The sequence below is a fragment of the Homo sapiens genome, chromosome 15, assembly GCF_000001405.40.
Source record: "Homo sapiens chromosome 15, GRCh38.p14 Primary Assembly".
Taxonomy (NCBI): domain Eukaryota; kingdom Metazoa; phylum Chordata; class Mammalia; order Primates; family Hominidae; genus Homo; species Homo sapiens.
Genome location: NC_000015.10, coordinates 64894706 through 64922118, shown reverse-complemented (window position 1 = coordinate 64922118; position 27413 = coordinate 64894706). Strand labels below are relative to the sequence as shown.

Sequence of the window (27413 nt, the reverse complement as noted above, 5' to 3'; positions counted from 1 at the left end):
TGGAGGGGCAAGCAGGGGTGGGGGACAGAGGTCGGGGGAGACCTGTGCATCCAGGCCAGGGGAGCCGAGGGGACAGGGGTCTACCAGCTGAGGCCTTACCTTGCTCTCACAGTGGATCTTGGCCCCTGAGTTTACCAAGATCTGGAGGATTCGTAAGTGGCCGAACCAGGCAGACAGGAGAAGCGCATTCATCCCAAACTAGGGGAGAGGACATAGAGGAGGTGAGAAGAATGTGGGAAGGCGTGGCTGTGCCAGCCAGGCCCTGTGCCTTATGACTAAACCATACAACCAGAAGGAACTATAAGTGCCACTTAATCCAGGGAGCTCCAAGCTTTAGGAGTTTAAAGACCAAGATTTTTTTTTTTTTAAATAGAGGCTGATGTACTATTGCAAACTTTTAAAATTTATTTTTGCTAAATGAAACTTAAAAATAAGACAGCTGCCGGCCAGGCTTGGTGGCTCACGCCTGTAATCCCAGCACTTTGGGAGGCTGAGGCAGGAGGATCACATGAGGTCAGGAGTTCAAGACCAGCCTGGCCAATATGGTGAAACCCCGTCTCTACTAAAAATAGAAAAATTAGCCGAGCGTGGTGGTGGGCACCTGTAATCCCAGCTACTTGGGAGGTTGAGGCAGGAGAATCGCTTGAACCCAGGAGACGGAGGTTGCAGTGAGGTGAAATCATGCCACTGCACTCCAGCCTGAGTGACAGAGTGAGACTTCGTCTCAAAACAAACAAACAAAAAAACCAGCTGCCATTTACTCTCATCACCATTTCATAAAGAAAGACCATTTTAAAAGAAAAAATTTGTAAGGAACCAATCTTAGAATATATACTTGACAAATAAAGCTTCATAACTGGGTGTGGTGGTTCACACCTGTAATCCCAACACTCTGAGATGTGAATCACTTGAGCCCAGGAGTTTGAAACCAGACTGGGCAAAATAGGGGGACCCCCATCTCTACAGACATTTTCGTAAAAATAAGCCAGGCGTGGAGGCACACTCCTGTGGTCCCAGCTACTCAGGAGGCTGAGGTGGGAGGATCACTTGAGCCCAGGAGGTAGAGGCTACAGTGAGCTGTGATCGCACCACTGCACTCCAGCCTTGGTGACAGAGCGAAACCCTGTCTCAAAAACAAACAAACAAAGACAAAAAAACAAATGTAGCTTCATGAAAAATACGTTGTCCCTGTTTTCTGATTTGCTATGACTGGTGAAGACCTTATCCTGGACTGGTGTTTAAGAATGGACTGTTTAAATCTCCCATAGAGGCTGGGAATGGTGGCTCATGCCTGTAATCTCAACACTTTGGGAGGGACCAAGGTGGGAGGATCGCTTGAGCCCAGGAGTTCAAGACCAGCCTGGGCAATATAATGAGACCTGTCTCTATAAAAAAATTAATTGGCTGGGCATGGTGGTACGTGCCTGTAGTCCCAGCTACTTGAGAGACTGAGATGAGAGGATCATTTGAACACAGGAGGCAAAGCTTATGGTGAGCCAAAATTGCACCACTGCACTCCAGCCTGGGCAATGGAGTGAGAGCCTCTCTCAAAAATAAATAAATAAATATCCCATAGAATATCTTCAAGGCAGATAGCTTAAGTCTGCAGCACCACATCACCTCACGAGACATCCCTGCGCAGTCAAACACTGGCTTCTGTTAGAAATGCCTCCTCGAGCTCTATTGAAATCTGTACTCCTGCAATTTCCATCCCACCAACTCTCTGGAGCAACTGAAAATATGTCTATGCCTCCACTCAGGGCAGCCCCACACCTGTTTGCAGGGTGCTCTTCCTCCACATCTGCACCGTGCTCCAGGGTCCCCAGAGTCCCTTCACTGACCTCCACTGCAGTAGGGTTCTGCACTTCCCCCACCTCCCCGGAGTCTTTTCTTCTCTGTGAAGAGCAACCCCAGGCCTCCAAACTCAGCTCCGGGGATACATCAAGAGCCAGCCAGATCCTGGGAATGGTTTTTTGCAGTGCCTCCTTGGGTGTGTTGGCTCCACCAGGAGCCTTTGTGAGGGGTACCAAGAAAAGGGGTCTTAGCGGTTGGCACCAGAATTCCTCTTAGGGAGGGAACTGTGTTTGGGTAAAAGCCTTGACAAAGGGTTGAGGCAAAAGGTGAAACTCAGAGGGAACTCACTGATCAGCAGGCTCCCGAGCATCCAAAGAGAGTTGCACTGCTTTGCTTTAGAAACAGGCGGGAATTTGGAGGCAGGAGGCGGGTGGTGCAGACAAGGACAGCACTGGAGAGAGGAGGGAAGCAGAGGCTGGGGCCAAGGCAAGGAGAGGACCAAGGGCCTTTAAAGAACAGAATGTCAAAGAGGGGTTTTTAGGATTTTTACATTGTTTTCATGTATAATGTAGGTCTCCTCTATTTCCCAGTTTGGAAAACCACACCACAAGCCTTCTGTGAATGGAGTCCCTGGAAACCGGGGAGAGGTACCATGTTTGGGATGACACCAGGGTGGAGTCAAAGGACTATTTGCAAAATTTCAAGAGAACGCCAAAAGCTGACCAGAAGCTGGAAGCAAGAGCCAGCAGGGACCACAAGCACTTAAGTTCTTCCTCATGAAATCCTAGAGAAGGTGTTGGATCTCGCATAGAGCCTCAAATGAGGGTCTATCATCCAAGATGGGGACATATTTTTTAAATTAAAAATTATAAAACAAAACAAAAGAAACAAATGAGGGTCTACAGCTGGCCTTAACTAGAGCCGAAGAGGCCAGGAGACCTGGCACTGGTTCAGAGCTCAGCACCTGGTAGAGTATCAGCAACTGTGGGCTGGCTGCAGGAGGAAGGAGAAAGAACAAGCACGGGCAGAGTCCAGAGGAAGGAGTCCACAGACGCTTGGGAGTAAAAAGGGTGAAGGCTCAGGACTGAGGGAGGGAGAGCCATGGGAGCCAGAGCCTCCTGACAGTGGGGACCTCCGGGATACATCACAGTCCTATACCAGCTTTCCCCACATACATAGTTCCTAGGAACTGTCCAGGCCAGAGTCCTGCGGCATATCACTACAGACTTTCCTCCAACCACAGGATTTCCCTTCTCCAGTATCTCCCGAACCCCATTACTACAGCAGGCAAGCCCAGCAGGCTGTCTTATTTTTCAAAAGGTTACTTATTACCATTTGCAAAAGAAACAGAGAGGATTCTTTTTTTTTTTTGAGACAGAGTCTCGCTCTGTCACCCAGGTTGGAGTGCAGTGCCACAATCTTGGCTCATGGCAACCTCCGTCTCCCAGGTTCCAGCGATTCTCCTGCCTCAGCCTCCCCAGCAGCTGGGATCACAGGTGTGTGCCACCACACCCAGCTAATTTTTGTATTTTTAGTAGAGACGGGGTTTCGAAATGTTGGCCAGGCTGGTCTCGAACTCCTGACCTCAGGTGATCCTCCTGCCTTGGCCTCCCAAAGTGCTGGGATTACTGGTGTGAGCCACCGCACCTGGCCAACAAGGAGGGATTCTAAAAGGGCCCCCTCTTACTGTTCTCCCTCGTAGCTTCTTTTCTCACTAAACCCCTGAAGGAAGAAATAACAGCACAGTGGTGATAGTGGGGGTCTCTGTGGGTATAAAGACTTGATGCAAGAGGCTCTAGTGTTTCACCAGGGAGCTCAGGCTAAGGATCCTAGACATTCTGCTCCTAAAGGCATCCCTAAAGGAGGCCTAAGCAGGTACAGGGAGGAGACAGGATTGGGGAATGGGGGAGGTAAGGGTTGCTGCCTCACCTCAACCCCAACTAGTAATCAAGCCCCCACATAGTGAGGCCTGGGAGCAGAGAGAAGCCGGAACAAAGAAAATTGTTTTCATGGACAACTAAGTCGCTGCAGGGAAGTTTATGGTTTTATTTTTTATTTTAAAATTTTTATCTATTTATGTATTTAGACACCAGGTTATGAGACTGACTAATTTTTGTATTTTTTGGTAGAGACGGAGTTTCGCCGTGTCATCCAGGCTCGTCCCAAACTCCTGGGATCAAGTGATCCACCCACTTGGCCTCCCAAAGTGCTGAGATTACAGGCATGAGCCATCGCGCCCAGGCGCTTTTTTTTAATTTAAATGTAGACAAAGCCATAAGTGTATCCCTTTCAAATGTCATTATTAGATTCAGCCTTTTTCCCAAACCTGTAGAGATAATTTTACAGACCCCGTTACTCATCAGTGCTCTCTCTCAGCAACACGCTGCCTGCCAATTGGTTAACTAAGACTATTATTAGTCTTTATCCAAGACTTTGATTGAAGTGTTAGCCAGGGCAGAGCCCTGTGGCATATCATGAGAGACTTTCCTCCTGGTGCTTTTGCTAATCAGGCCTCTATCAATCCACCCAATTATCTGTTCTACAGCCCTCTCTCTGTTCGCATGGTATCATGAGGGACTGAAAAGGCTCTCTGAGAACTGAAAGACCCTTGAAAGTGGAGAGCTCTTCATTGCTGTACAGGAGTAAAACAGAATCAGTGCAGTGTCCCTGCGCCTGAAGCCTCTGACTCCCCACCACTCTGCACCTGAATGTCTGCATATTAGCAGCAATCTCGGCAACTGGCTCATAGACCCAGAGAGATCTCCAGTGCCCCCCACCACCCTGAGACAGACAGACAGACAGACACGTACACACAGACGTGCCTCTGTGAGGGCCCCTACCGCATCCTCCTCGTCCACAGCAGCCTCGTGCTCCAGAAGCAGACGCACAGCCTGCTCGTGCCCTGCACCTGCAGCCCAGTGCAGGGCCACCCTGCCCACCTGCCCGGAGGGAGATGACACTTGTCAGGTGCTGCTGCCACCTGGCTGCCTGGACCACCTCCCACACCCTCCCCCAGGACAGCTGGTCTGCAGGCTGGAAGGGTCTTTGCTGGCTCTGGTCCCCAGCTAGCTGGGGACCCAGCCCCATTCTGCCACATGCTCCTCTCCTACATGGCAGCCAGAGCCAACATAGTAAAATGACTGGACCCATCTGTCCCCATCTAAAACTCTTCACAGTTTCTCATGGCTCTCAGGATAAACTCCTAACCTTGGGGATGATGAGGCGCTGCATGGTCTGGCACTGCCCACCACTGCTTCTCAGAAATACCAAGCAGCTTCCCACCTCTAGGCCTTTTCCTGCTGTTCCCCCTGCTGGAAAGCCCCATGTGGCCAAGGATTATCCTCCAAGTCCCTGAGAGGCACTGGAGTGCCTGGGTTCTGTCCCCTTCCTTCTCTCAGAATGGGGCTGAAGGGACCTGACCCACCACCTCATTCTCAGACCACCTTGGCAGTTCATAACGTTATCCAAATAGGCCTGAGGGAAGCTGGCCTGTGGCCCCTGTGCCCACTTCTCCCCTCTGTAGTTCTCAGCTTATGAGGGGACAATGAAAGGAAGCACTAGTTTTCTCTGTGGTCTCAGGCAAGCCACATCCCCTCTCTGGAGCCCAGCTGCTCCTTCCTACCTCAGGGCTTCTGCCCATACTATTCCCTCTGCCTGAAATATTGTCCTTCACTTGGCTCCTCAAAAATGCCACTTCTGGCAGGGTGAGGTGGCCCATGCCTGTAATCCCAGCACTTCGGGAGGCTGAGGTGGGAGGACAGCTTGAGTCCAGGAGTTTGAGACCAGCCTGGGCAACATAGCAAGACCCCTATCTCTAGAAGAAATACAAAAATTAGCTTGGCATGGTGGCACACGCCTGTAGTCTCAGCTACTCAGGAGGTTGAGATGGGAGGATCAACTGAGCCCAGGAAGGTCAAGGCTACAGTGAGCTGTGATTGCTCCACTGCACTCCAGCCTGGGTGATATGAGGTCCTGTCTCAAAAAAAAAAAAAAAGAAAAAAAGCCGACCCTCCTGCACACGCTCTTACGACAACTTATCACAGAGGGAATGAATTGTTTGTGAGATGCTTTGTGTGATGTCTGTCCTCCTCTTTTGCCCATCTGCCAGCTTCTGGCTGCTGACCTTTGACCCTGGCCCTCCTGGCTCTAACCTCTCAGATGGGTCCCAGAAGTTAAGAGTTTGACCTCTGGAATTGCCCAAGCCTGGCTTGACATCCTGGTCCTGACCTTGGGTGGGGGCCCAACCACTCTAAGCCTCAGATTCCTCGAGACAATGCAGGCCATGAGGACAGAGCCCGAGCCTCCCTCCAAGTTTACACATGCAAATGTGCCTGCCTCTAGCTCAGATAAACTATTCCCCCTGTGTACTGGCATTATCGTGACACTATCCCAGGTGCCTGGATTCAGAGAAGCTCATTACGCACGTGGTTTCTGGCCCTGGTGTTAACCCTCCTCCCAATCAGCTCCTGCATCCTGCCGACATTGTTCTGGCGGGCGGCCTCGTGGAGCTGCCTCTCCAGAGGAAGCACTGTGGGGAGAAAATGGGGTGCAGGATGAGGGGGAGGATGCCCCACACTGCAGACAGGAGAGGTAAACAACCCATTTCCACTCCTGAACATTTCTGGAGCAGGGGTCTTTCAGCTAGGAACAGGGGCAGAGCGGCACAGCCCTCCTCCCTCTCAAGGTCAGGGTCCTCCCCAGACAGGCTGCTCTTCCTCATTAACTCACCCCACAGCCACGCAACCAGGACGTGGTGAAACCCTGAAGATGGAAGAGCAGGGCGAAGCCATTTTCAGCAGCCTAAATGTGTGCCCCATTATCCAAGTTTCATGTACCCTCCCAAGAGCTGCTCTTGGGGAAGGAAATGAAATTAACTCCCTCTGGAGTCAGTAACCATCTTTTCCACGGCTCAGTCTACACAGCCAGGATTTACTGAGCCACCTACTGCGTGCCAGCGCCGGGTGAGGCCAGAGGCATGTTTACCCCACTCCTGCACATTCCGTCTCCTTGTTCCTCCACCCCTTCTTCCAACCCCTCTGTTGCCCAGGCTGGAGTGCAGTGGCGTGATCTTGTCTCACTGCAACCTCTGCCTCCCAGGTTCAAGCGATTCTCCCACCTCAGCCTCCTCGGTAGCTGGGATTACAAGTGTGTGTCACCACACCTGGTTAATTTTTGTATATTTGGTAGAGACAGGGTTTCACCAGGTTGGCCAGGCTGGTCCCCAACTCCTGACCTCAAGTGATCTGCCTGCCTCGGCCTCCCAAAGTGCTGGGATTACGGGCGTGAGCCACAGCGCCCAGCCTCTTCCAATCACTCTTGCCCAAATCCTAACCAGCTTCCACCTGCCCACGCTGAGGCTACCCTGATTTTCCTTCTCTGTGGTCTCTCTTCTCTGTGCTCCTCTCACCCCCATCGCTGCACCTTTAGCACAGAGTCTCAGATTAAAGGGAACCTCAGAGCTCCCCCTGCCAACCCCTGTCACGCACACCTGTGGGCTCAGGGTCAGACTGCATTAGTCTCTGAGCCAGGAGGACACAGGTCCAGATGATCCCCACCGGAGCCCCATGCTGCCATCATCCTGACGGCTCTTGATTGTGAGGATGTCTAGTCTCCATGGCTAGACTTCAAGTATTTTGGAGGCCCTGGCCACACTTGACCCTTCCTGATCCACCCACAGCTCACAGCAGGCCCAAAGGTGGGCACAGGAGGAACCCACAAAACTCTGCTTTTGAGCCAGGCATGGTGGCTCATGCGTGCAATCCCAGCACTTTGGGAGGCCAAGGCAGGAGGATGGCTTGAAGCCAGGAGTTCAAGACCAGCCTGGGCTAAAAAGCAAAACCTCCATCTCTACAAAAAAGTTTTTTTAAAAATTAGCCAGGTGTGGTGGCACATGCCTGTAGTCCCGGCTACTCAAGAAGCTAAGGCAAGAGGCTTGCTTGAGCCCAGGAGTTTGAGGCTGCCAATGAGCTATAATTGCACCTCTGCACTCCAGCCTGGGCAACAGAGTGAGACCCTGTCTCTAAAAAGAAAACAAAAACAGGCTGGGTGCAGTGGCTCACACCTGTAATCCCAGCTCTTTGGGAGGCCGAGGTGGATGGATCACGAGGTCAGGAGATCAAGACCATCCTCGCCAACATGGTGAAACCCCGTCTCTACTAAAGATACAAAAATTAATTGGGCATGGTGGCACACACCTGTAGTCCCAGCTACTCGGAAGGCTGAGGCAGGAGAATTGCTTCAACCTGGGAGCTGGAGGTTGCAGTGAGCCGAGATCATGCCAGTGCACTCCAGCCTAGTGACAGAGCGAGACTCCATCTCAAAAAAAAAAAAAGAAAACAGAAACAAAAAAATCTCTGCTTGTATGAGTGACACCAACAATCCCCAGACGAATAGATGCCTGTCCCCTCTCCCAAAGTGCTCACACATACTAGCACAGAGACAAATATTTGCTGGCCCTTTCCATAGTCACTGCAGGGCAAGTGACCCCATAGCCTGCATGTTTGGTCCAGTATGAATGTCTGAACCCAGCCCCTTTGTGTATCCAGGGACAGGTGACGAGTGTCTTGGTAGGGAAGGCTAAGATGCACTGAGGTGAGAGACAGGCCTGCCATGCAGTTTGTTTTTCTAGATAAATTCCACACAGTCTTCTCCAGATGAGAAAGAGGATCTTGAGCTTTCTGGGGCCTCATGGATACAACCTGTGGATCTCAGAGTTGCTACCCTGGGGGGCAATCACACAGTCCTGGGTTCAACTCTGGCTTAACCACTTCCTAGCTGTGTTAGGCAGTTTCCTCATCTGCAAAACAGGAGTGCGAGCTTCCCTACAAGGTTAATATCATGATTAGAAATGAGATATGAAAACCCCCTGGCACAGTGTCTGGCACATAATGACCACACCGCCACCACCACCACCATCATCATCACTATTATTCCTCCAAGGCAAAGGGTCAAATTCTGGTAGCCAAAGAGAGCTGCCACTTCAGATGTGAGCTTACAGAGGCCTGGGTTCTAGTACCTTCCCTGCCACTTTCCAGCAGCAGGATCCTGGGCTAGTCACATCCCCCTTGTAGGTCTGTTTCTTCCATTGTAAAACTGGGGGAGGGTGAAGAAAGAGATCTGTATAGGTCCCTTCCTGTCTGGCACCCTCTATCTTATGTGCAGCTTAGGGGGATTGGCCTGGTTTGTATTGGCAAACAGCCAGGAGTTCCAATGGGAAGCCAGCAGACACTGCATAGGGTCAGGCCAGAGAAGGTTAAGTTAGAATGAAATCAAGTCCAGTCTCATCTCTTCCATCCACCTCCCATCCGGCACCCTCTTTCTGGCCACATCCAATACCCACTGAGCTACCTGAGCCTTTGCCCATGCTGGGTCTTTGTCCAGAATTCTCTGCCACACACCCCAATGCTCCATTGGTACACATTCTTCGCAGGCCCACTCAAGTGATCCTCCGCCCCAGGCAGAACCATGTACCTAATCTTGATTGAGCATTCCCACCCCCAACACATCCCTCAGCTGAGTAGATGCAGTGTGCCAGCATTTTGGACACTATAGGTCTCAAAGGAATCCAGTGAGCTGCACTATGCGCTTTTGAGGGAAAGCCCCGGGATTCAGCTGTCAGGATTCAGCCAGGGCTGCAGGATCAAGGACTCACAGTGCAGACACCGACACAATCTTTCTCTCCCCTCTCCCAGACGGTGCAGCCAAAGCTGCCCCAGGCCAGCTGATGCCCACACAGACGCTGCTGCCCGGCCTAGAGGCCCTGGCACTGGGCGCACTCCTTGAGGGAGGTTCGGAGGTGCCCTCATTCCACCTGTGGCCAGTCAGGCTCCTCTCCTCTGAGTGCGTGCCCCATCTGATGCGGTCTCCACTCGCTATCCAGCCCCAGCATTCCGGGTGAGCTGGGCCCTTCAGCACTTCTACCACTCAATGGCTGTGTGACCTTGAACAACTCATTTGAACACCCTGTGCCTCAGTTTCTCATCTGCGAAATGAAGATAACATAATGTCCTACCCATATGGCCGCAGCGAAGATCAAATGACGTGCCTCTCCTGGGTCAAGGCCTGGCACACAAAGTACAGCACGCAGTCAAGGATCGCTATTACCTTTATTATTTGTAGCTAACCTCTCAGCCGCTGCTCCCCGCTCACCTGGCGGGTGTGGTCCCCGAGTCCCAGACGCACTGGCAAGGTCCCCTCGGCCCAGTGCGCGGACCGGTAACCATTCCGCTCGGAGCCACACAGACGCCCCACACGGAGGTGGCCGTTCGGAGGGCGCCAACCTCACCCCTGGCACTCCCCAAACGGATGCGGGGGTCCTCTCGGCCTCGGCCCGCCCCCCTCCCTCCTCCAGGCAGACTCACGGCCGTCGGTCTCCCACGCCAGCTCCTCCTGCATCCTGCCGCTCCGCAGCCCCTGCGCGCGCTGGTGCCCGGGCGCGAGGCGCGCGTCCGCCGGGGCGGGGCCCGGGGAGCCGAGAGGACGGGGCGGTCGCTCCTCCAGACTCCACGCCCCGCCTGCTAGGAGCGCAGCTGCCCCGGCCACCCCAGTCCCGGACCAGGACGCAGGTCCCTCCTCCTGCTCTCTTAACCTGCCCACCCCTCCGCGCCCGAGGCCGGCGGGTCGGGGCCACGCCGAGTTCCGCAGGTGTCCCTGACCCAGTCTCCTCCCCGGGAGTTCGCCCAGCCTCCCCGGCCCTGGAGATAGATGCGCACAAGGCATCTGGCAGGCTCATCCTCCTCGCGCCTCTCGGGACTCGGGGAGGAGGGCTGAGCCTTGGGCCCGCCGCCTCAGGCGCAGAAAGTCAAACCCCAAAGATGTGAGCTGGCGTTTAAGGGACCACAACCTCAGCAGGTCTGCAAGCATATGAAGAGATGGTCGGATTTATCAGTGTTCAGAAAGATTTATCAGGCCCATAAAGGGACATGTAGGAGGATGTTGGTTGCTGTGTTGCTGTGGTTGCTGGGAGTTGGAGACAATCTAAGCGCCCTTTCTTGTAAGAGCAGATGGATAAACTGTGCAGCACTCAAAGCAAGGGACCCGCTGTATTCGTGGCAATATGGATTTAAACACCTAGTGCTAGGCAGAAAAAGTAAATAACCAAACCAAATAAGACCTAGGAAACAATATCAATAAAAATATTACAAATGCATTTACATCAAACAACACAGACTTGCAAAGACACATAGAAACAAAAAGATACACATTAAATACACCAGAATGGGTTGCACTTCAGACCCTTGGGGGATGTCCATGTCCTTTTTGCCTTAAAGGCATTTACAGCTTCTTTGAATTTAGGGATAATGGGGTCTCAGGCATCTCTATCCCAAGGCAAGAAGCCAGCAAAGCCATGATAGGTGTAGTTACTACTACTTTGGGGATCAAAGGAGGAAGAGCATCTTTCAGTCATTAGTCCTTAGAATATAGTTCAAGAAGGCTTCCTGAAGAAGGAGGTATTTGGAATGGCCTTTGAAAAATAACATAATGATAACAGCTAACAATTAATGAGCCCTGAGCCAACCCCTCAAAATGGTCTCAAAATAACAATTCCAACATAATAATCAAAGATATGATTTTTTTTTTTCTGAGACAGAGTCTCACTCTTTCGCCCAGGCTGGAGTACAGTGGTATGATCTCGGCTCACTGCAACCTCTGCCTCCTGGGTTCAAGCAGTTCTCCTGCCTCAGCCTCCCATGTAGCTAGGATTACAGGCACTCGCCCCCACACCTGGATAATTTTGTATTTTTAGTAGAGATGGGGTTTCACTATGTTGGTCAGGCTGGTGTTGAACTCCTGACCTCAGGTGATCCACCTACCTTGGCCTCCCAAAGTGTTGGGATTACAGGTGTGAGCCACTGCGCCGCACCCCCCCCTTTTTGTTTTTGTTTTTTTTTTAAGACAGAGTCTCACTGTGTTGCCCAAGCTGGAGTGCAGTAGCGTAATCTCAGCTCACTGCAACCTCTGCCTCCCAGGTTCAAGCGATTCTCATGCCTAAACCTCCCAAGTAGCTGGGACTACAGGTGTGTGCCACCACACGCGGCTGATTTTTGTATTTTTAGTAGAGACGGGGGTTTCACCATGTTGGCCAGGCTGGCCTCGAACTCCTGACCTCAGGTGATCTACCCACCTAGGTCTCCCAAAGTGCTTGGCCACCACGCCTAGCCAAAGATATTATTCCTGAAAACAGTTTAAATGTTTTTTGTAAAGCTTTTGTCACATGTACATCCCACTAGGGGCATAGTGTCACGTTACTGTTTTAGTCACTTGGAATAGTTCTTTATGTGGTTATGCCACCAACTCAACATGCATGGTTTATTTATTTTGTTTTGCTTTTGTTTTTTGATATTTTTAAATGTTAATTTTGCTTTACAATTATGTAAAGTATTTACATGTTTCAAAGTTAAGTCTCTGAAGGTTGTCATAGTCAGCTGTGGTGATGGATGAAGAGGGCACCACTGGCTTCCAGCCTGCTGTCACTCTCCTTCACTCCACATCCAGCTTTTCTTCCCAGCTGCTGAGCCTGCTGACCAACAGTGGCCCCAGGCCATCGCGGACTTGGCTGCAGACCCAGGGCATTAGTACCACCCATAGACCTCCCCAGGAGCTTTCCCTTGTGGTTCCATTTTAGCAGCTGGACATACTTGGTTTCTCAGATGACTGACTAAGGACTCCTCTGATCCCCAACTCCCCTTCTGGTCCTTCCGCAACTGTGTAAGGCAAATTACTATCACAGATCCCTAATCCCAGGGGTCTCCAACCCCCAGGCTTCAGACTAGTACTGGTCTATGGCCTGTTAGGAACTGGGCCACACAGCAGGAGGTGAGCAGCAGGAGAGCGAGCATTACCACCTGAGCTCCGCATCCTGAAAGATCAGTGGTGGCATTAGATTCTCATAGAAGGGTGAACCCTATTGTGAACTGTGCATGTGAGGAATCTAGGTTGCACACTTCTTTTTTTTTTTTTTGAGATGGAGTTTTGCTCTTGTTGCCCAGGCTGGAGTGCAATGGCTCACTGCAATCTCTGCCTCCCGGGTTCAAGCAATTCTCCTGCCTCAGCCTCCCATGTAGCTGGGATTATAGGTTTGCGCCACCATGCCCGGCTAATTTTGTATTTTTTTAGTAGAGATGGGGTTTCACCATGTTGGTAAGGCTGGTCTCAAACTCCTGACCTCAAGTGATCCACCTGCCTCGGCCTCCCAAAGTACTGGGATTACAGGCGTGAGCCACCATGCCCAACCTAGGTTGCACACTTCTTATGAGAATCTAACTAATGCCTGATCATCCGAAGGGGAACAATTTTATCCCAAAACCATCCCCCCACCACCCAAGTCCTGTAAAAAATTGTCTGCCACAAAACTGGACCCTAGTGCCAAAAGGTTGGGGACCAGTACCCTAAACCCATAACCTCAACATGATTCTGCTTCCTTCACTGCATCCTGACTGACAAAATAACATTTGTGTTGTTGATGCTTACCCTTATATTGTTTAATTTAATCATATATTCTCCCTTTACTGCAGTAGCATACTATATATCATCTTCTTACTTTGCCCTGCCCCTTAAAATTCACCCATTTAAGTGTATAATTCAATGGTTTTTAGTACAGTATCGTTCAGAGTTGTATAACTATCACCACTAAATATTTTCATCACCCCAGAAAAGAAAGCCCATATGCTTTAGCTATCACCCCCCCTTGCAGTTTACCCTCCCCAACCCTCCACACACAGCCCTAGGCAACTACAAATCTACTTTCTTTCTCCATAGATTTGCCCGTTCTGAACATTCTTCTGGCTTTATTCTGGGAACAATCTACTACAGAGATCTCTCCGCAGTAGTCTGTTGAGATCTTCCTGCATCCTTTGTACAGCCTCAGAGTCCTCCATTGGGTGGCTTATTCAACCACTCCCTGTTGATGGACATTGGCCCTGTTTCCAGACTTTTGTTATTACAATAGAGTTACAATGACCAACCTTATGCATGCATCAGTTGGTATTTTTACCAGTGCATCTATGGGATCTATTCTTATAAATGGGATTGCTTGGTCAAAGGGTAAATGCACATATAACTTTGCTAGCTATTGCCAAATTCTCCTCCATAAGGTCCAGAAATATTTTGCATTTCCATTACCAATGTATGAGGGTGCCTGTTTCCAAGGAGAACATTCTGTAAAACTTGGATTTTTCCCAATCTGATAAGTAAGAAATAGTAATTCATTATAATCTTAGTTTGCATTTCTATCATTACAAGAAAAGTTGGTTATCTGTTTCTATGTTTAAGAGCCGTTTTCTTTTCTTTTTTTTCCTGAGAACAATCTGTTCTTATCCCACTCATTTTTTAAATGATTGTTGGCCTTTTGCTTAAGAGAAATTTTAAAACAGCTTTTTATTTCTTGTCTTATTAATGTTTGTTCATTACTAAAGAAATTTTAAAATACAAAGAAGGGGCTGGGAGCGGTGGCTCACGTCTGTAATCCCAGCACTTTGGGAGGCCGAGGTGGGAGGATCACGAGGTCAGGAGATCAAGACCATCCTGGCTAACATGGTGAAAACCCATCTCTACTAAAAAAATATATATATATAAAATTAGCCGGGCGTGGTGACGGGTGCCTGTAGTCCCAGCTACTCAGGAGGCTGAGGCAGGAGAATGGTGTGAACCCGGAAGGTGGAGCTTGCAGTGAGCTGAGATCAGGCCACTGCATTCCAGCCTGGGCGACAGAGTGAGACTCCGTCTCAAAAAAACAAAAAAAAAAAAAAAGAAGGGACAAAATACAATCAATCTACCAGAAGACGCCACCATGAATCACTTGTTATATATTGCGCTAGCCCTTTTCTAACAAAAGAAAAAAATACACACACACACACACACACACAAGAGTGGTAAATATTTGCTGGTCTTGTACCAGCATTTGGGAGCCAGAATGGCACTGGTTTCCTCTCTGCTTAGAGCAATCAGCTGCTTGAGAGGAGGGAGGGAGTGGCAGAAGCTCCCAGCCAAGTGGGGTCAGGGGTACCCAGTGGGCAGCTCCTGAACAGGTGCTCCAAATAAGTGAGCAGTTTGATTGTGGGTAGGAGTGGCAGCCCCCTGCAGAACTGCTCACCCAGTGGGGGAAGGAGCAGCAGGAGCACAGGACTAAGAGACCTGAGCTCCAATCCAGATCTGCACTGCCCAGCTGTGGAACTGGACAAGTCCTTTCCCTCTCTCCATAAGGAAATAGGCCTGGATGGTCTTTTAGGTCCCTGGCCCCTCAAGCATTGGATTGAGAGGTGATGAATAATCCATTAGAGGAAGAAAGCATTAACCAAAGGGAGGCAGGGCCAGTTTATTTTTCAGGTCCCTAGGTACCCTCTAAACCAGTGGTTTCCAATCTTTTTACCACCATGGACTGGTTTTCTGGAAGACAATTTTTCCATGGGTTGGGGTGGGGCCATTGGAATGGTTTCAGGATGAGACTGTTCCACCTCAGATCATCAGGCATTAGATTCTCATAAGGAGTGCAGCAACCTATCGCATGTGGGGACAATAGGGTTCATGTTCCTATGAGAATCTAATGCCTCTGCTGATCTGACAAGAGGCAGAGCTCAGACAGTAATGCCTGCTGCTCACCTCCTGCTGTGCAGCCCCATTGCTAACAGGCCACAAACCCATACTGGTCCTGCCCGGGGGTTGGGGACACCTGCTATAAACTCACAGACCTCAGACTCCACCCACATCTCCCAGCACTTGTGTATCCATGTCTTTCTGAGTCCAGTCCTAGCTCGGCTGTGTGACCCCATGCAATCACTAAATCTCTCTGACCTTCAATTTATCTGTGGATGATCCTTTTTTAATAGGGCTATTTCAAAATGCCTAGGCCCAGGCACACAATGAGTGCCCTAGTGTGGTGGCGGTGATTATCCTCCAGCTCTCCACCTGCAACCTATACTATCCCATGTAATCATATTGACAACTCTGTGAGGCAAATGCTAGAATATGGAAGCTCCACTGTACGGAGGAGGCACCTGAGATTCAGAGAGGTTAATACTTCACTCAGGGACATACAACAAGCTGTGGAGAGTTGAGAATGGCCTCCAGGTGTGACTCGCTCCAAAGGAGAAACAGGTGATTCCCATGGCATTGAACCACGTGCTGGGTCCCCAGCCAGGCCACAGCTGAAGGTGAGGTTGGAGGACATCCTTCAATCCAACCACCCGGCCAGTCCACTGGGACACCCCAATTCTAGGGCGTGACTTTCTTGCCAGGAAAGAAAGCAATTTGGCGGAAAGCCTCAGAAAACAGCGCAAACAGGCTGGGCGTGGTGGCTCACACCTGTAGTCCCAGCACTTTGGGAGGCTAAGGCAGGTGGCTAAGGCTTGAGCCCAGGAGTTCGAGACCGGCCTGGGCAAAATGGTGAGACCTACCCTTCCACCCCCCCACACACACGCTCACTGTCTCTACAAAAAAAATTTAAAGAAACAAAAGGAAAAATAGCGCAAGCACGTAACCTGACGCAGAGGATCCAGGTGAGAGGGACTAGGAGCGTATGGGCGTTCAGTTTCCCTGAGCCTGGCTTCTCGCGCTTAGCGTCCTCCTGGAACTCCGAGGGGAGTGGGCAGAGGCCTCTGGGCCTCGCTGCAGTTTCGGTTGTCGACACGCGGGGGAGCAAGAGCCGGCGAAGAGCAGCTGTAAATACCGTAATTCCCTCCCATCTGTCCCCACGACCGGCACGACAGTGATGGAGGCCAGAGGGGCGCGAGGAGGGAGAGGCTAGGGGTTACAGACTGTAGTGTAACCTGAGATGGGCTGGATCTACCTATGACAGAGGAGGCTCTGCGCAGAGAAGCAGGGTGCCCACATGCTGAGTCTCCCAACTGGCTCCTCCACGCTGGGCTTTCTGCTGTACCATTTTCTGAGGCTTTCCCCAAGATTGCCAGTGAGGGTACGTGAATGCCAGGCTAAAGACTTGGGCCATGGGGGCGGGGTGAGAGAGGAATAGACGCGGTGGTAAAGATGTAAGTAAATGTGGGGTTGAGTGGCAGTTTAATTCCCAGACATACTCGGGCCTTTCTAATGAGGGAAAAGATCCAATAACTTTCGCAAAGAAAGTAGGGAATTACTATGGATTCCCGTTAGAGGAATGCGCATCTTAAAAAGCTGCAGGAAGGGGGCAATATTTAACCCAAATGAAATTCTAAAGGTCTTTTTTTTTTTTTTTTTTTTTTTTTAGACGGAGTCTCACTCTGTCGCCCAGGCTGGAGTGCAGTGGCGCGATCTCGGCTCACTGCAAGCTCCGCCTCCCGGGTTCACGCCATTCCCTTGCCTCAAGCTCCCGAGTAGCTGGGACTACAGGCGCCCGCCACCATGCCCGGCTAATTTCTTTTTGTATTTTCAGTAGAGACGGAGTTTCACCATGTTAGCCAGGATGGTCTCGATCTCCTGACCTCGTGATCCGCCCGCCTCGGCCTCCAAAAGTGCTGGGATTACAGGCGTGAGCCACCGCGCCCGGCCTTCTTTTTTTTTTTTTTTTTTTTTTTTTTAACTTTTGTTTTAGGTTCAGGGCTATATGTGCAGGTTTGTTACATAGGTAAACTTGTGTCATGGGGGTTTGTTGTACAGATTATTTCATCACCCAGGTACTAAGCCAAGTACCTGGTAGTGATATTTCCTGATTCTCTCCCTCCTCCCATCCTCCACCCTCTAGTAGGCCCCAGTGTCTGTTGTTCCCTTCTTTGTGTCCATAAGTTATCATCATTTAGCTTCCACTTATAAGTGAGAACAGGCGGTATTTGGTTTTCTGTTCCCGTGATTTTTTTAGGTTAACAGGCAGAAGGGAGAGAGGTGTTTGCCTGGAGAAAGGATAAGATGACCTGGTGTTGTTGGGTTGAGGGGTGAGGCAGTTCTGTGATCTGGGTCCCAGAGCAGGGACAGGGTGCAGCCTGTTGTGAAAGCCCAATGCACCGGATGTGTGTCCTCTCTAAGAAGGTAGCACAGCCATGTGCAGTGTCATTGAGCATGCCCTCTGCCCAGGGCTCTGCCAGCCCAGCCAGTGAGGCTCAAGTTGGGGGACAGGAGGTTGGGGGTCAGGGAGAGATGCTTGGGAAGCGAGGAAAAGAGAAAAGGAAAAGGCACCTAAGAGCTGGCAGGCTGGAGTCAGGCAAGACCTTCATCTTCCAGACTTGTTTTCTCATCTGGAAGGTGGAGATAATAACACTACCTATATGCAAAGGGCTATTGTGAGAATTCAATCAGTTGTTGTTCTAGAAAGTGCTCTGTAACCACTACAAAGACTAGGCATGAAACCTCCTCTGTAGAGGGCTCCCAGATTGCTCCAAACTCAAAATGCCCCTTTCCTGAGGGTTCCCAGAACCCATGGTCAAGCCTTCCGTGGTATCCCTGGCCTAGATGCAAGTAACTGTTTTGCAGCTGTCACCTTCTGCTCCAGCTCCCACTAAAGCACCCTCCCAACCCCAATCCCTGCCATACTATGAACTTTTTTTAAATTTATTTATTTTTGAGACAAGGTCTCACTGTGTCACCCAGGCTGGAATGCAATACAGTGTCAAGATCATGGCTTATCACAGCCTTATCTCCAGGGCTCAAGCGATCCTCCCACCTCAGGCTCCCAGGTAGCTGGGACCACAGGCATGTGCCAACACGCATAGCTAATTTTTTTTTTTTTTTTTTTTTTTTTTTTTTTGCAGAAATGAGGTTTCCCTATGTTGCCCAGGCTGGTCTTGAACTCCTGGGCTCAAACAATCCTCTCACCTCAGCCTCCCAAAGTGTTGGGGTTACAGACGTGAGTCACAGCGCCTGGCCAACTGAACTTGTCAAGGCAGATGTGGTAGCTAATTCATCCCTGTACTCATTCAAAACTACAGCCTGATAAGACTTGGCAAAATGATACTAAAGTTTATCTTAAAACAACAACAACAATAAAAACAGACAGCAATGTTATGAAAACAAAGAGCAGTGGAGGGAAAGATGGGACCAGATACTGAAACAATTTGACAATGGCTATCAGAATTTTTTAAATGTACATACCTTTCATGCCAACAACTCCATTTCTAAGAATCTACACCATAGAAATAATTGCAGTAATTACATAAAGATGCAAGGATGTCTACTGCGATCTGTTCCGTAACTATAGCAAACAATTGGAAACAACCCAAGGGCCCATCAATAGGGGATGACAAAATAAATTGTGATGCATGATTATAAAATCATACAATGCAATGCTGAGCAGCTGTTAAAAAGAAATTAGTGGGTCTGTATTTGCTGAGGTAGGAAGAATCTCTAAGAGACAGCAAGAGTCAGAACAGGAAGTACAATATGAGTCCATTTCTTTAAAAACATTCTCCTGCCACTATCATCACTTTTTTTTTTTTTTGAGATGGAGTTTTGCTCTTGTTGCCCAGGCTGGAGTGAAATGGCATGATCTCTGCTCGCTGTAAACTCCACCTCCTGGGTTCAAGCGATTCTCCTGCCTCAGCCTCCCAAGTACCTGGGATTATAGACATATGCCACCACAACCAGCTAATTTTGTATTTTTAGTAGAGACAGGGTTTCTCCACTTTGGTCAGGCTAGTCTCAAACTCCCAACCTCAAGTGATCCACCTGCCTCAGCCTCCCAAAGTGCTGGGATAACAGGCGTGAGCCACCACACATGGCCTATGTTCACATCTTCATCAGTCAAATTTCCCTTCCTGTCCCCAGATGACAATCTGGCAGATACTATGCTTTGCAATCATTTTAGGATATTAAAAGTCTGGTCCAACTCAATTTAAAATTCCAAGCCCTTCAATCTACAAAATACGGCCAGACGCGGTGGCTCACACCTGTAATCCCAGCACTTTGGGAGGCCAAGGTGGGTGGATCACAAGGTCAGGGGTTCGAGACCAGCCTGGCCAACATGGTGAAACCCCATCTCTACTAAAAACACAAAAATTAGCTGGGCGTGTTGGTGTGTGCCTGTAATCTCAGCTACTGGGGAGGCTGAGGCAGGAGAATGGCTTGAACCCAGGAAGAGGAGGTTGCAGTGAGCCGAGATCACGCCACTGCACTCCAGCCTGGGTGACAGAGCAAGACTCCATCTCAAAAAAAAAAAAAAATCTTCAAAATACATATAGCACAGATATATATCATATTGTCATATTAACTTGTTTATTTTTCACCACAGCCCTCTGAAGTAGGTACTATGATTATCCTCCACATCTTACAGATGAGGAAATTGTGGTATAGACAGGTGACTTCCCCAAATTCACACAGACAGTAAATGGCAAAGCCAGGTTCTCTGCCCTTAACCACTGTGTTATATCACCCTAGGCTCACAGGACCTCAAATGGGACTTTTCCTTGTCTCAGAATTTCAGCTGGCGTACTGTATATCATTAGCTAGATATACTAGAATTCATTTAGCCATCACCCTAATGATAGACATAGAGATTATTTCCAGTCTTGTGCTATTATAAACAGTGCTGCAATGAACTTTGTGTGTATGTTTTTGTGCACCTGTACAACTATTTCAGTAGCTTAGATTCATAAAAGTGCAATTGCTGGATCAATGGGTACATTTAAATTTGAATAGATGTTCCAGATATCTATTGCTATATAACTAACTATCTCAAAATTTAGTGCTCAAAAACAACCATTTTGGCCAGGTGTGGTGGCTCACGCCTGTAATCCCTGCACTTTGGGAGGCCGAGGCGGGCAGAACACGAGGTCAGAAGATTGAGACCATCCTGGCCAACAGGGTGAAACCCTTTCTCTACTAAAAATACAAAAATTAGCTGGGCATGGTGGTGTGCACCTGTAATCTCAGCTACTCGGGAGGCTGAGGCAGGACAATCGCTTGAACCAGGGAGCTGGAGGTTGCAGTGAGCATAGATCATGCCACTGCACTCTAGCCTGGGCAACAGAGTGAGACTCGGTCTCAAAAAAAAAAAAAATATTTTATATTGTTCATGATTTTGTGGGTCAGGGATTTTGGGAAGGGCTCAGCCGGATGGTTCATCTGTGATTCTCTTCCAAGGTGGCTTCATCGCTCACATGACTGGGGCCTCAGTGCTCCTTGACTGCTCTTTAAACATGTGGTGTCATATCCTGTAGGGATTCCCCACATGGTTTGGGCTTTTTACAGCATGTGAACATTAGATAATGCAGGTCAGGTAACCAGGTAGTTGGCTTCCAAGAGGGAGGATATGGAACCTGCTGGACAATCTAAGGGATACACTTGCAACTGAGACAGTATCACTTGCTGTATTTTATTGACCAGGGAATTCACGGTCCAACCCAAATTCAAGAAAAGGGGACATAGACCCCACCTCTCCATGGAAGGCACATCAGAGAACTTGTGACCACTTTTACTCTACCATAATAGTTATTTCCAAATTGCCCTCCAAAATATTGGTCAATTTACATTCCCAGCAATGATGCACTAGATTGTCCTTCCCCACACCCTCACCAACACCATACATTGTAAAACACTTCAATTCATGCTGATCTAGCAGCTGAAAATGGTACTGTATTTCATTGTCATTCTTTCATGCATTTCTTTAATTATGGGTGAAGGTAAGTATCTTTTCACGTATTTGCTGTTCATTAAATTTTATTTTTTCTTGTGAATTGTCTGTCTATATATTTTACCCATTTTAAAATTTGGTTGGACTTTTTTATATTGATTTATAAAATGTATATATTAAAAAGAGTAGCTTTTTTTTTTTTTTTTTTTTTTGAGCTAGGGTCTTGCTCTGTTGGCAGGCTGGAGTGCAGTAGCATGATCTCAGCTCACTGCAACCTCTGCCTCCTGGGTTCAAGCAATTCCCCTGCCTCAGCCTCCTGAGTAGCTTTTATCTGATATTATGTTACAAATAGTTTTCCACAGTGTGTGGACTTTTGACTTTGTTTTTTGACAATTTTCTCAATTTAGGTTTTAAATTTTTACAGGTTCAAATTATCAACCTTTTACTTTAAGATTTCTGGATTTTGGCCAGGCACAGTGGCTCACGCCTGTAATCGCAGCACTTTGGGAGGCCAAGGCAGGTGGATCACAAGGTAAGGAGATTGAGACCATCCTGCCCAACATGGTGAAACCCCATCTCTACTAAAAATACAAAATTTAGCTGGGTGTGGTGGTGTGTGCCTGTAATCCCAGCTACTGGGGAGGCTGAGGCACGAGAATCACTTAAACCCAGGAGGTGGAGGTTGCAGTGAGTGGAGATCGCGCCACTGCACTCCAGCCTGGCGACAGAGCAAGACTCTGGATTTTCTTTTTTTTTTTTTGAGACGGAGTCTCGCTCTGTCGCCCAGGCTGGAGTGCAGTGGCACGATCTCCGCTCACTGCAAGCTCTGCCTCCTGGGTTCACGCCATTCTCCTGCCTCAGCCTCCTGAGTAGCTGGGACTACAGGCACCCGCCACCGTGCCTGGCTAATTTTTTGTATTTTTAGTAGAGATGGGGTTTCACCGTGTTAGCCAGGATGGTCTCAATCTGCTGACCTCGTGATCCACCCACCTCAGCCTCCCAAAGTGCTGGGATTACAGGCGTGAGCCACTGTGCCCGGCCGAGACTCTGGATTTTATGTAGTGTGTTCCTGTTGTTTTTCAGAATTTTCCTGCTAGTCTCAAATGTTTATTTTTCCAGATTAATATTATTTTCCAAGGCACCCTCCTCAAATCCTATTGTTTTGATTTAAATCACTTTCAGTTTATAGATCCATTTAAGAAAATGCACAACCTTACAACTGGAGTACAAGGCTGGGCTTTGTGTTGTTTTGAGTCTTCACTCCCATAGGACATCAAGTCTTAGTGAGGGGATGATGGTGCCATCTCAGGAAGTCCCCAGCATTCCTGGGCACCTTTGAGGGAAGGAGCCCAAGAATGAACCAAGGACAGCCCTGGGGTCAGACAAGCCCCACAATGCCATGTACCTAGGAATCCAAGGCCTTGTCAGGGAGGCTCAGAACACAGCCCCCAAGCCTACAACTCCTGGACTTTCCATTGCAGGGTGAGTCCAGAACTCCTTGAAGAAAACATTCCTTAGAGGCCCAGGAAAGGCACCAGATGTGCCTTCAAAGAGCTAATTCATGAGGTAGGAGATTTCACATAGTGGTGCCTTGTTGGAGAGACCGAGCAGAGTGATGCATTTGCCAAGGAAAATCCTACCAGTCTCAAAGTCACAGCCTTGGAGAGTGGCAGGGATCTGCTGTGGGAGCCACAGGAATGGGCGGCTGCTGTGGGCAGAGCCCTGCAGGCTCTCCTTCCTTCCCAGCTGGGGCTCTGCTGGCTTCTCTCCAATCCTGGAACCCCAGTCTGCAGCATCAACCCACTCCTTCCCCAGGCAGGGGCCCAGTTGGGCACCAAAGGCTTTCCCCAAAATGCCCAGAGAGATTGAGTAGGCATTTGTTTATTCAACAATTATTGTCAACAATGTGCCAGTCAGTGTTCTAGATACTTGGGGTACAACAAAAAATAACAGAGACTGAAATTCTTACCCTCCTGGAGCTAACAGACAATAAAAATAATCATAATATGTAAATATGTTAGAAGAAAAGTGCCATGGGGAAAAAACAGGGCAAGGTAAGAGGACTTGGGAGTTGGGGGTGGGGAGCAGTCACATTTCCCAAGAAAGCAACCGTGCTAGGGAACTTCCATTTGCCCTCCAGATCCCCAGAAAAGGCTGACCTGAAGGACTGTGTCCTGGCTCTGGCTGGATTCAGCCAATGAGCCTCGCAGGAGAGCTTAGACAGGCGGGGGAGGTTTTTATCCCCCTGGCTCCCTCCTTGCAGGTCACAGCTCTGGTCAGGTGGCCCTCTCCCACAATTCTGTCCTTCCTTCCACCAGCCATGTCTTTCCCTCCTCCTCGCCCTTCTGCCAGGCCTGGGAGTAGCAAAAATGCCCCATGCTACTGAACCTGGGCACTGCACTCTCCCTTAGGGTTTCCTTACAGCCTGTCCACACCTTTGAAAATAGTCCTGAAATAATGCTAATTTGAATGCTGAGAAATACAGTGATATTTGAGCAGGCTGGAAGGCAGTAAGGTGGTATGCCATGCCGATGTCTAAGAAAAGAGTGTTCAGGGCACAGGGAACTGACAGTACAAAGGCCTGGGGTGGGAGGCTGTGCCTGGGCTATTTGAAAAAAAGCAAGAAAGCCAGAGTGGCTGTTGCAGAGTGAGGAATGGGGAGAGGAGTAGGAAATAGTATCTAAGAGGTATGTTTTGGGAGGTGGGGGCTTGGCATTTGCTCTTGGTGAAGTTGGGGTGGATGACGGCCCACTGGAATGAACCCAGAAGTGATGTGATCTTTAACACTATCACTCTGGCTGCAGTGTTGAGAACAGACTCTGGGTCAAGGGTAGAAGCAGGGAGGCTGGTAAAGGGGAGGCTCAAAAGACAGTGGGAAAGGAACCAGAAGAGGCTTGTACTGTGGAGCTGGAGCCAACAGGGTTGACTGAGGACTTGGGGTGTAGAGGAGAAGAGCAAGGGTGGCTTCAAGGCTTCCCTGCATCTGCCCAGCCTGGCCCTCACATCCTGTCCCTCTGGGTGCTGTGTGTACACGTGTCCAGTCCTTGGGGCTGTGCACTGCAGGCCCATCTCCTCTGGCTGGCCTAGAGGTCTGCCAGCCTCTGCCAAGAGGAGTCCTTGACCAAATCACAGCTTTCTCTACCTGGGGCCATCTGCCTGAGGTCACTGGTAGGGGTGGGGAAGTGGATTCACTCCCTGGGGTGCAGGGAAGGGAGGCTACGCCTAATCCCCAAAGGCAGTCCAGTAAATCTCCCATATCAGTGAGATATTTTCTGGGGCACTCCCAGACATATGTCCTTCAGCCCAGATCCCGTGAGTCAGCCAGAACTGAATGTGACCAGCTTCCTCCTCCACCGCTCACTTGGCTGGCTTCCTCTCAGGCTCCAGCCTTCTGCAGGGGCAGCTGAGGCCACGAGTGAAGGGCCTGCTCATGGGTAGCCCACGCCCCCTCCTCAGGGCCCTCAGCAGCCCTTGCCCCTTCTATTGGATGTGTTCTTTCAGAATCCCGGTTTGAAGGGCCTCCTCCCATGGCATCCTGTGTGGGGCTGGACTCTCACTGCTCCACAACCTGAATTCAGGCTTCTAGCTCCTTCCAGGACAGCTGGGCCTGGCCTCCACTGAGAACAGAGGAGTCTCCCCCACCTGACTCCATGCTGAGCTCTCCACTGGCCTGTCCTCTCGGGTCTGCTGGGGCCATCCAATACAGAGGGCTCGTTATAAGAGTGGGCTCTGGGGTACAAGTTCTGCCACTCCTTCACCTGCATGTGACCTTGGCCAGTCACCTATCTTCTTCAAGCCTCTCCTTCTGACACTGTGGTGTTCCTTACACATTGGAGGCCCTCATAAATGCTTTCTGAATAAGTCTGCCTGCAATATGCTTAACGCAGTGCCTGACCCAGAGAACATGCTCAGTAAAAGTCAACTATTTAAATCATCCCCATTTACAGATGAAGAAACTGAGACTCAGAAATGTAACTTGTCCAAGGCCTCAGGGCTGGGAAATGGTGGAGCCAGGTTCCCCTGTGCCCTGATCCATCAGTCCACCTCCCCTGCATGCTCCCCATTCTTCTCTGCCTCTGTGAAGCCAGCACAGATATGTCAGCCTCAGAGGGATGAATGGAGAAGCCAGAAACTCACACTCTGAGAACCCCTGAGGAGACAGGAGGTTCCTATCATCATGGGAGATACAAAGATGAATTAAAGTTTCAGCCGCTCAAAGGGCTGCCAGTCTGGAACTGGGAGCCACGGCGCCCGGAACAGAGTCTATCCCTACACAGAGGACCCAGCAAGCCTCAAGGGAGGGGCACCATCTGGGTTCCCAGTACACAATTGGCTCGTTGAATCACAAAGTTCACAAGAAATAGTGGCCACACAATCTGAATTTTAAAAGACAAGTCCAAGTTGCAAACATTTTCTCCTATTGTTATAATAGAGTATGAAGTGCCCCAAAGAATCCATTATTGTGGCACCTAAATGACCTCTCACAGCCAGGTGGATCACAAAAATCTATGTTATACCACACGTCCTAAGCTTGACTTGGGGAAAGAGGATCCCCATTATGCTAGACACACAGATGCCGGCTGCCCCCAGCCTCAGCCTCATGGGTGTATGCAGGTCCACACAGACTAATACCAGACAAGACAAAGGGTCACCCACTCTTGGGCTATTAGATGACATGGTGACTTGAGTTAGTGCCCCCTCCCCTTTCCAGCAGTGATCCTAACACCAGTGCTGGGCACTGTAAGGTCTGGAGGGGCCTTTGGTATCCCCAGAGAAAACAGACTGCCTTTGCATGCTTCTTGTCAGCATGAGAGGCAAGCCCTGGTCTAAGTGACACCGAGGTTGCAGCCAGGGTGTCTCTGACAGGGCTGCTGTCCTCAGATGTGAAGGCTTTGCTCCTCAGCCTCTTGCTACAGACCTCCCTCTCACATTAACTCCTGCCAGGACTTTTGGTTTCGGTTTCTGACAGCAGAAATAAGTTCTACCCTTTCCCTCTGTTGTCCTCCACACTTCCCCTCCTCCTACCCTACTTCCTTCACCCTTCTTCCTCCCACCCTAGTAGGAAATCCCCCCCCTGCCCCCACCCCCAGTCCCAGTCTGAGAGGGACAAAGAAGAAGAGAGGAATAGAGAAGGGACTGAGAAAGGGAGTTGCCAGAGACCTCGCTGCATCTTCGGGGCTTGGTGATCACTCACAAATCTGCAAATTGTGCCCTGTACAACTCAAGAGGACACCAGTCCTCTCAAGTCACCAAAATTTGCATATTTATTAGCACACTTTTCAGACAGATGGCAGTAAAGTGTCTTGAGAAGGAACAGTCTGAAGCTCTGGAGTGGGGTTAAAGGGCTGAATGCCTTTCGGCTCTCATCTCCTAGAAGCCCCAAGGCACCCCCAGTCCTTGAGCTGTAACCCACTTATCCCTCTTTGCTCAACTTCCCAGCTGGGCTAGAACCCCAGTGAGACTCTGGCTCAAAAGAGGCTCGCCAATCTAGGTCCATTTGTGGGGCCCCAAGCAAGTCTCTTCCTCACTAGGCCTCAGTTTCCCCATCTGTAATATGTAAAGAGAACAAAAGGATCTCTAAGCGGCCATCTATATTTAACAGCTGAGTCTGTGCAGAGGGTGCCTGGAGGCAGATGATTACAGTTGGGTTGCAGCCTCAGGGTCCCTATTTCTCTGAAGGAAGGAGGTTGTTGGTTGTTCCGTTGACTGAGAGCAGGGGTCAGAGAGGATTCTTTTGTTGAAGAATATCAAGAGGGGCTGTGTGACCTGGGGCGGCTCCTCTAACCTCTCTAAACCTGTTACCTCCCCTATGAAATAAAGGTGGTAATATTCACCTTGCAGGTGGCTGTGACGACTGAAGGGAGTACTGCATGCAAAAGTGCTGGCGTGGAGGAGGCGGCAGAAGAGGGCGGCGGCGGGGCACGGCAGCCACTGCCTGAGCTCAGGCTCCAGGGCAGGAAACCCACCTGACAGGCCACTCCTTCAGCTCGCCTCCCCCAGTGGGCTCCCTCCCCTCTCTCTGCAGGGCCACACCTCTGGGAGGATGCTCAGGGCTTGCACAGCGCTGAAGGAACCCCAAGGAGCCTACACCCCTTAGCCTGTCATGCCAGGCCCTCCCCTACCTACGCCCCGC

At 49.8% G+C, this 27413-nt stretch overlaps 1 protein-coding gene across 1 annotated transcript in view, besides 6 other annotated features; it reads right to left on the bottom strand.

Annotated features, from left to right (window-relative positions):
- The window catches only part of ANKDD1A (ankyrin repeat and death domain containing 1A), a 46790-nt gene extending 36573 nt beyond the window's left edge, over positions 1–10217 (bottom strand). The window contains exons 1-4 of the mRNA NM_182703.6: positions 10155–10217; positions 6219–6322; positions 4605–4733; positions 100–198 (exon numbers count right to left, since the gene is read on the bottom strand). Of these exons, the coding sequence (NP_874362.3) occupies positions 100–198; positions 4605–4733; positions 6219–6322; positions 10155–10188 (366 nt within the window). The 5' untranslated portion in view covers positions 10189–10217. The remainder of the gene's footprint in view (positions 1–99; positions 199–4604; positions 4734–6218; positions 6323–10154) is intronic.
- Positions 6254–6754: an enhancer, noted in NCBI's record as "H3K4me1 hESC enhancer chr15:65207564-65208064 (GRCh37/hg19 assembly coordinates)". NCBI's record gives its function as "activates a minimal SCP1, AML or CMV promoter by ChIP-STARR-seq in primed H9 embryonic stem cells {active_cell/tissue: H9 hESC(primed)}" and the evidence as "EXISTENCE:reporter gene assay evidence [ECO:0000049][PMID:30033119]".
- Positions 9462–10005: an enhancer, noted in NCBI's record as "H3K4me1 hESC enhancer chr15:65204313-65204856 (GRCh37/hg19 assembly coordinates)". NCBI's record gives its function as "activates a minimal SCP1, AML or CMV promoter by ChIP-STARR-seq in primed H9 embryonic stem cells {active_cell/tissue: H9 hESC(primed)}" and the evidence as "EXISTENCE:reporter gene assay evidence [ECO:0000049][PMID:30033119]".
- Positions 10192–10371: a silencer, noted in NCBI's record as "silent region_6546". NCBI's record gives its function as "represses an Ori minimal core promoter by ATAC-STARR-seq in GM12878 lymphoblastoid cells {active_cell/tissue: GM12878}" and the evidence as "EXISTENCE:reporter gene assay evidence [ECO:0000049][PMID:35858748]".
- Positions 10572–10621: a silencer, noted in NCBI's record as "silent region_6545". NCBI's record gives its function as "represses an Ori minimal core promoter by ATAC-STARR-seq in GM12878 lymphoblastoid cells {active_cell/tissue: GM12878}" and the evidence as "EXISTENCE:reporter gene assay evidence [ECO:0000049][PMID:35858748]".
- Positions 10695–10989: a silencer, noted in NCBI's record as "tiled region #6079; K562 Repressive non-DNase unmatched - State 21:Repr". NCBI's record gives its function as "represses a minimal TATA promoter and a strong SV40 promoter by Sharpr-MPRA in K562 cells {active_cell/tissue: K562}" and the evidence as "EXISTENCE:reporter gene assay evidence [ECO:0000049][PMID:27701403]".
- Positions 26723–27321: an enhancer, noted in NCBI's record as "H3K4me1 hESC enhancer chr15:65186997-65187595 (GRCh37/hg19 assembly coordinates)". NCBI's record gives its function as "activates a minimal SCP1, AML or CMV promoter by ChIP-STARR-seq in naive H9 embryonic stem cells {active_cell/tissue: H9 hESC(naive)}" and the evidence as "EXISTENCE:reporter gene assay evidence [ECO:0000049][PMID:30033119]".